A 7,877-nucleotide genomic window follows, 5' to 3' on the forward strand; every position below is an offset into this window, starting at 1 on the left:
GGTCCTAACTTTGTTCCAGAAGTTCCTCTGGAGAACCTTGACTTGCCTCCTTGCCTCCAACCTGCATGCTGCTCTAGTTTGCTTTCTACTCTCCCTCCATGGTAATTTTACTAAAGGGCTCTTTTCACCTCACCTTTGCTGGGTACCTCTGGGCAGGAAGTGGGGGTGGCATTCTGAGGTCACTCACTCTCTGAAAAACAACCAGGTGTGGCAAAGAACAGAGCCTTTAAAAACAGCCATGGCAGAGTTGGAGTCTCGGCTCTTTCATTTCCTAGATAGAAAGTCTTAGACGAATGCTTAACCTGCTTGAGAGTAAATAAAGCTGTTACCACAGATATACCCAAGGCAAAGAGACAGAGAGAAAGAAGAGAAGTAGTCTAGCTTCTCCCTTCCACCTGCTGCCAGGTTGCTTGCCCAGGGCTGTCAATGGCCACATTCAGGTGGAAAGCAGCTGACCAGTGTAAAACCTGGAGAAGAACCAGCAAAAGTCAACCCTCCCAGAGAGAGAGCTCAATGAGGCCCAAGCGAGGACTGGGTCTGAACACAAAGTGGGCCTAGAACCAGTGCCAACATCCAACAACAGGGATATGTGCTCGTTTTACAATTTTGTCTTTTTATAGTGGTTTCCCTGACTCTTCTGAGTTATGAACTGCTGTTGATAGTTGAGTCCAATACACCATCAGGAACAAACCATGGTAGTCACAGCATTATTAGTTACTGGATGTTCTGAGCCAACTAGAACCAGAACCAGATTCAAGAGAGCCTTGGACACATCCTCGTATGATTCCACTGGAAGAGCTTCCTGGGATGGAGAAGGGACCCTGCTGACATAAGGCTCTAAGGCAGGGATGGGCAAACTTTCTCTGTACAGGGCTAGCTAGAAATACAAGGCTCTGCCAGCCATACTATAGCTGCTGCAACTACTCAGTTCTACTGTTGTAACGCAAAAGTAGCTGTAGACAGTACCCAACCAAATGGATGTAGTTCTGTTCCAATAAAACTTTATTTACAAAAACAATGGGCTGGACTTGGCCCGATGGATGTAGTATGGCCATCCCTGCTCTGTGGGGCTAAACAATGTAGTCCTACGGCTCCAAAGATAGCAGCTTAATTGGATTGTCTTGCTTGCATGAAATCACTTATTTGGAGCCATTATTTAAGGGAAGGTAAGTTCCAGTTTATAAAATACTTTTTGTTCAATGGTTTATGTTTAGTGTAAATGTAGAGTTATATTATTCACAGTTAAAAATACAGCACTGATCAGGAGATTATTAAAAATGATTTAAATGGAGAGACAGACCTAATTGCACAGGAAAAAAAATAATTTTCCACAGGGTATATACTTCTTCTCTTGTAGAAAAGCACGCCAGTTTCCTTGGCAAATTCACAGCCCGGCACTCCGACGTTCTTAGCATTCATGCACGCTACCAATGGATTTACAATTGCAAATCAGCCCTGTATGGGAGCTGGTGATATGTTAGACTGTGTTTATTACATCTCTTGTGTGCCTGTACATTCGTGTGATGCTCACTCTTTCTCCTCCCAGAACAATTAGCAATGGGTCGACCTCCTATTGTTGTATTAGCGTAGGGTCTGTAATGTGGGAAGGAACTGGGCTTCTTCTCACTCTCCCTCCACAGTATCCCCTGTCTTTCCAGCTAGCAAGCAGCTTTCTCTCACAGGAACACAAGAAGAGCAGCTTTCTTTTAGATCTGTCTCCACCTAGGATGTTTAAGGAGCTCTAAATCAGTGCACCATGCACCAGCTGGTCTGAGAAGGTACACGGAATCCACAGCCATGTTCCCATCTCTGCTTGCATAATGCCTGTCCTGCAGCTCCTCCCACACCCCTGCCAGCAATCAGCATTCAATTCCCTTTATCTCCTGTCCTCTGGGGCCCATCTCAGCTTTCCCTTTAAAGATTCAAGTTGGGTTGGCTGCCCTGACTTTGCCTTATTCAGGATGAGCGATACAGCTTGGAGGGTGGGGTGTGGGTTTTGGTCTCAGACAGATCCAGTTTCCAATCCCAGCTCACTGTGTGACTTTAGGCAAAATACGCTACCTCAGTTTCCTCATTAGTAAAATGGGAGTAATGACACCTGTTATAAGCTGAATTGTGCCCCTGCCTCTCAATTCATATGTTGAAGAAGATGACCTTAGAGTGTGCCTGTATTTGTAGATAGGGCCTTAAAGATGTAATTAGGTTAGAATGAGGTCCTCAGAGTGGGCCCTAGGTCAACCTCACTTGAAGACATGTGAGGACATGAAGACTTGAAAACCATGTGAAGACACAGACAAAAACACAGCCATCTACCACCCAAGGAGAGAGACCTCAGAAAAAAATCAACCTTGCTGACACCTTAATCTTGAACATTTAGACTTTGGAGCTACAAGAAAATCAATTTCCATTGTGTAAACCCCCCAGTCTGCTGTACCTTGTTATGAAGGTACCCTTATTATGAAGGTTCCCAATAAGATTCAGTTTCTAGGATCTTATTGGGTAGTTGTTGCCCACAAGCTCAAGATGTTTCCTGTTTCTCAGGAATTTTTCCCCCAGTTGTGACCACTTACCTTATAATGCCTGAGGAGCCCACCTGACAATCACAAGACAGTCATCTGGGAATCATCTGATCTTCTTCGGGGCCCTTTCTTGTCCTGCTCTTATCTGCCAATCTACCTATTATAACAGTGGGAAGCAGGACCAAGCATGGTAACTTTCACTCGTGTCCATGTGAAGAGACCACCAAACAGGCTTTGTGTGAGCAACAAGGCTGTTTATTTCACCTGGGTGCAGGCGGGCTGAGTCTGAAAAGAGAGTCAGCAAAGGGAGATAGGGGTGGGGCCATTTTATAGGATTTGGGTAGGTAAAGGAAAATTACAGTCAAAGGGGGTTGTTCTCTGGCGGGCAAGGGTGGGGGGGTCACAAGGTGCTCAGCGGGGGAGCTTTTGAGTCAGGATGAGCCAGGAGAAGGAATTTCACAAGGTAATGTCATCAGTTAAGGCAGGAACAGGTCATTTTCACTTCTTTTGTGGTGGAATGTCATCAGTTAAGGCAGGAACCAGCCATCTGGATGTGTATGTGCAGGTCACAGGAGATATGATGGCTTAGCTTGGGCTCAGAGGCCTGACATTCCTGTCTTCTTATATTAATAAGAAAAATAAAATGAAATAGTTGTAAAGTGTTGGGGTAGCGAAAATTTTTTGGGGGTGGTATGGAGAGATAATGGGAGATGTTTCTCAGGGCTGCTTCAAGCGGGATTAGGGGTGATGTGGGAACCTAGAGTGGGAGAGATTAAGCTGAAGGAAGATTTTGTGGTAAGGGATGATATTGTGGGGTTGTTAGAAGAAACATTTGTTGTATAGCATTATTGTCGATGGCTTGGATACAGTTTTGTATGAATTGAAAAACTAAAAGGAATAAGAGAAGGAGAAAAACAGGTATTAAAGGACTAAGAATTGGGAGGACTCAGGACATCCAAACAGTAAGTGCCTAAGGAGGTTCAGCATAGCCCTGCCAGCAAAGATTATTTATTTACTTTAAGAGTGGCGGTTTGGGGAGAGCACCAGAAGATATCAGCTGTGATGGCTTGGAGAAACAGTGTAAACTGGCAGTGTAAACAAGAGCAGGGCATTTATGAGTAGTTGAGAATGGGAGAATGGTGAATAGGAGTATGACTAGACAGAAGATAGTACGGATGACAAGTTTTTTGGGGTGCAGTCTAAGTTGGTCTGGTGTCTGGAATGAGACTGGGGCCTAATAAAAAGGAGCATCCATACAGGAGCTCAAATGGGCTGTACCCTGCAGCACTCCAAGGACAGGCTGGAATTCTGAGAAGGGAAAGTGGTAAAAGTATTGTTTAGTCCTTTTTAAGTTCGTGGCTGAGCTCGGTGAGGTGTGTTTTTAAAAGACCATTAGTTCACTGAATACCAAGAACCTGAGAAACTGCTTGGGTGATTTGACTAATAAAAGCTGGTCCGTTATCAGACTGTATAGAGGTGGGAAGGCCAAACCGAGGAATTATGTCTGACAGAAGGGAGGAAATGACCGCGGTGGCCTTCTCAGACCCTGTGGGAAAGGCCTCTACCTATCCAGTGAAAGTGTCTACCTAGACCAAGAGGTATTTTAGTTTCCTGACTTGAGGCATGTGAGTAAAGTCAATTTTCCAGTCCTGGGCAGGGACAAATCCCCGAGCTTGCTGTGTAGGGAAGGGAGGGGGCCTGAGAAATTCTTGAGGAGTAGTAGAATAGCAGATGGAACACTGATTTCCTTGAGGATAGATTTCCACGATGGAAAGGAAATGAGAGGTTCTAAGAGGCAGGCTAGTGGCTTGTAACCTACATGGAAGAGGTTATGAAATGACGACAGAATAGAATTGGCCTGTGAGGCTGGAAGGAGATATTTTCCTTGGTCCAAGAACCATTTGCCTTGTGTGGGAAGAGATTGATGGTGGAAGTTTCAGTGGGGAAGTAAGTGGGAGTGGCCAGATGAGAAGGAGAAAAACTGCCGTGAGGGATAGAAGTTGGAATGCTAGCTGCTTTTTTAGCTACCTTATCAGCATAAGCATTGTCTCGAGCAATGGGATCTGATGCCTTTTGCTGGCCTTTGCAGTGAATGACTCCAGCTTCCTTTAGAAGTAAAGTGGCTTTGAGAAGCATTTTTATTAAAGAGGCATTAATGATGGAGGACACTTGCATAGTAAGGAAATTTTTTTCAGCCCATATAAAAGCATGGTGGTGCAGGATATGGAAGGCATGTTTAGAGTCAGTATAAATATTGATGTGTAGTCCCTTTGCAAGAGTGAGGGCCCAAGTTAAGGCAACGAGTTCAGCTTGCTGAGAGGTAGTGGAGGGGGGCATAGTGATAGCCTCAATGATAGGTGTGGAAGATACTATAGCATAGCCTGCCTTTGCTGGTGAGTGGTGATTAGGCCTGGTGGAACTGCCGTCAATAAACCAAGTGTGTTCAGGGCGAGGAACAGGAAAGAAGGAAATATGGGGAAATGGGGTGAATGTCAGGTGGATCAGAGAGATACAGTCACAGGGGTCATGTGTGGTATCCAGAATAATGTGGGAGGATGGATAGAAGTCCAGTCCAGGAACAATGGTAACTGTGGGAGACTCAACAAAGAGTGAGTATAGCTGAAGGAGCCGGGGAGCAGAAAGTATTATGTCAGGTGTGAGGAAGAAAATAGATTTTGGAAGTTATGACAACTGTAGAGAGTGAGTTGAGCATAGTTTGTGATTTTTAGGGCCTCTAAAAGTATTAAAGCAGTGGCAGCCAATGCACGCAGACACTACGGCTAGGCTAAAACAGTAAGGTCAAATTGTTTGGATAAAAAGGCTACAGGGCACGGTCCCGGCTCTTGTGTAAGAACTCTGGCTTGACTGAAGTAATGGTGGCTGTCTGTGAAGCCTTGCGGCAGTACAGCCCAGGTAATTTGCTGAGCCTGATGGGTGTCAGGGTCAGTCCAAGTGAAAGCGAAGAGAGACTGGGATGAAGGGTGCAAAGGAATAGTAAAGAAAGCATGTTTGAGATCCAGAACAGAATAATGGGTTGTGGAGGGAGGTATTGAGGATAGTAGAATATATGGGTTTGGCACCATGGGGTGGATAGGCAAAACAATTTGATTGATAAGGCACAGATCCTGAACTAATATGTAAGGCTTGTCTGCTTTTAGGACAGGTAAAATGGGGGAATTGTAAGGAGAGTTTATAGGCTTTAAAAGGCCATGCTGTAACAGGCAAGTGATAACAGGCTTTAATCCTTTTAAAGCATGCCGTGGGATTGAATATTGGTATTGAGCTGGATAAGGGTGATTAGGTTTTAATGGGATGGTAAGGGGTGCATGATCGGTCGCCAAGGAGGGAGTAGAGGTGTCCTGTACTTGTGAATTAAGGTGGGGAGATATGAAGGGAGGATGTGAGGGAGGCTTTGAACTGGGGAGAAGGGAGGCAGTGAGGTGTGGCTGTAGCCAAGGAATAGTCAGGGAAGCAGACAATTTGATTAAAATGTCTCAGCCTAATAAGGGAATTGGGCAGGTGGGGATAACTAAAAAAGAGTGCATAAAAGAATGTTGTCCAAGTTGGCACCAGAGTTGGGGAGTTTTAAGAGGTTTAGAAGCCTGGCCATCAATACCCACAACAGTTATGGAGGCAAGGGAAACAGGCAGTTGAAAAGAAAGTAATGTGGAGTGGATAGCCTCCATATTGATTAAGAAGGGGATGGACTTACCCTCCACTGTAAAAGTTACCCAAAGCTCGGCGTCCTTTATGATCCAGGGGCTTCCGAGGCGATCAGGTAGCGTCAGTCTTCAGCCGCTAAGCCGAGAAGATCTGGGAAGGAGTCAGTCAGAGAGCCTTGGGCCAGAGTTCCAGGGGCTCTAGAAGTGGCTACCAGGTGAGTTGAACAGTCCGATTTTCAGTGGGGTCCGGCAGAGATGGGACACGGCTTAGGAGGAATCCCAGACTTTGGGCATTCCTTGGCCCAGTGGCCAGATTTCCTGCACTTGTAGCAAGCTCCTAGGGGATGAAGTTCTGGAGGAGCCCCTGGCAGCTGCGGTTCAGGCATTTGGAGTTCTTGTGTGCTGGAGATGTGGCTGGGGTTTGTCTCACAGTGGAGGCAAGGAATTGCAACTCAGAAATACATTGCTACTTGGCTGCCTCTACTCTATTATTGTACACCTTGAAGGCGAGGTTAATTAAGTCCTGTTGTGGGGTTTGAGGGCTGGAATGTAATTTTTGGAGTTTTATTTAATGTCAGGAGCAGATTGGGTAATAAAATGTATATCAAGAATAAGACGGCCTTTTGACCTTTTAGGGTCTAGGGCTGTAAAGTGTCTCAGGGTTGCTGCCAAATGAGCCATGAACTGGGCTGGGTTTTTCATATTTGATGAAAAACAGCCTAAAAGCTAACTGATTTGGGAGAGGTCGGATAAAGAAAAAGGAGCATTCACCTTGACTATGCCTTTAGCTCCAGCCACCTTTTTAAGAGGAAATTGCTGGGCAGGTAGGGGAGGGCTAGTCACGGAACAAAACTAAAAGCAGGACTGGGTGTGAGGAGGGGAGGTGATAAAAGGATTATAGGGTAGGGGAGCGGAGGCTGAGGAAGAATTGGGACCTAGCTCAGCCTGGCGAGGAGCAGCTGGGGAGGAGGAGAGAGGTCAGATGGGTCTGTAGTAAAGATTAGCAAGACTCAGCGATGCTTGGGGTCAGGACTGAGGGGAAAGGCAGGAGGGAAAGAAGGAAGATTTGAGATGAGTTGCATTGGGAACAGAGACTAGGGAGGGACCGATGTGTAAAAGAATGCCTAGACGTCAGGCACCTCAGGCCATTTGCCTATTTTATGACAAGAATTATCTAGATTTTGTAGGATGGAAAAATCAAAAGTGCTGTTTTCTGGCTATTTGAAACCACTGTTGAGTTTGTATTGGGGTCAAGTGGTGTTGCAGAAGAAAATAAGACACTTAGATTTTAGGTCAGGCGAGAGGTGAAGAGGTTTTAACTTCTTGAGAACAGAGGCTAAGGGAGAAGAGGGAGGAATAGAGGGTGGAAGTTTGCCTATAGTGAAAGAGGCAAGTTTAAAAAGAAGGGTAGAGACACGGAGAAGGGGGTGGGGAGCAGCCCTGGGCTGCAATGTGGGTGAGCAGCCAAAGCAGGCATCCCCGCAACTGACTTGCCACCAAGGGAATGTAGGTGAATGATCAAGGCAGGCGTCCTCACGGAGATCAGACACCAATGGAATGTGGGTGAATAATCAGAGAGGTGTCCCCGCAATGATTAAACACAAAGGGAAGGCTGCCTTCCTGAGTCAGTGACCGGCACCGGAGTTTTGGGTCCATAGATAAAATGCATCTCCTTTGTCTCTACCAGAAAATGAAA

The 7,877-nt window shown here is 45.8% G+C and overlaps 1 annotated feature.

Annotated features, from left to right (window-relative positions):
• Positions 1,587-2,088: an enhancer, noted in NCBI's record as "NANOG hESC enhancer chr14:98912000-98912501 (GRCh37/hg19 assembly coordinates)". NCBI's record gives its function as "activates a minimal SCP1, AML or CMV promoter by ChIP-STARR-seq in primed H9 embryonic stem cells {active_cell/tissue: H9 hESC(primed)}" and the evidence as "EXISTENCE:reporter gene assay evidence [ECO:0000049][PMID:30033119]".

The sequence above is a fragment of the Homo sapiens genome, chromosome 14, assembly GCF_000001405.40.
Source record: "Homo sapiens chromosome 14, GRCh38.p14 Primary Assembly".
NCBI classification, from domain to species: Eukaryota; Metazoa; Chordata; class Mammalia; order Primates; family Hominidae; genus Homo; species Homo sapiens.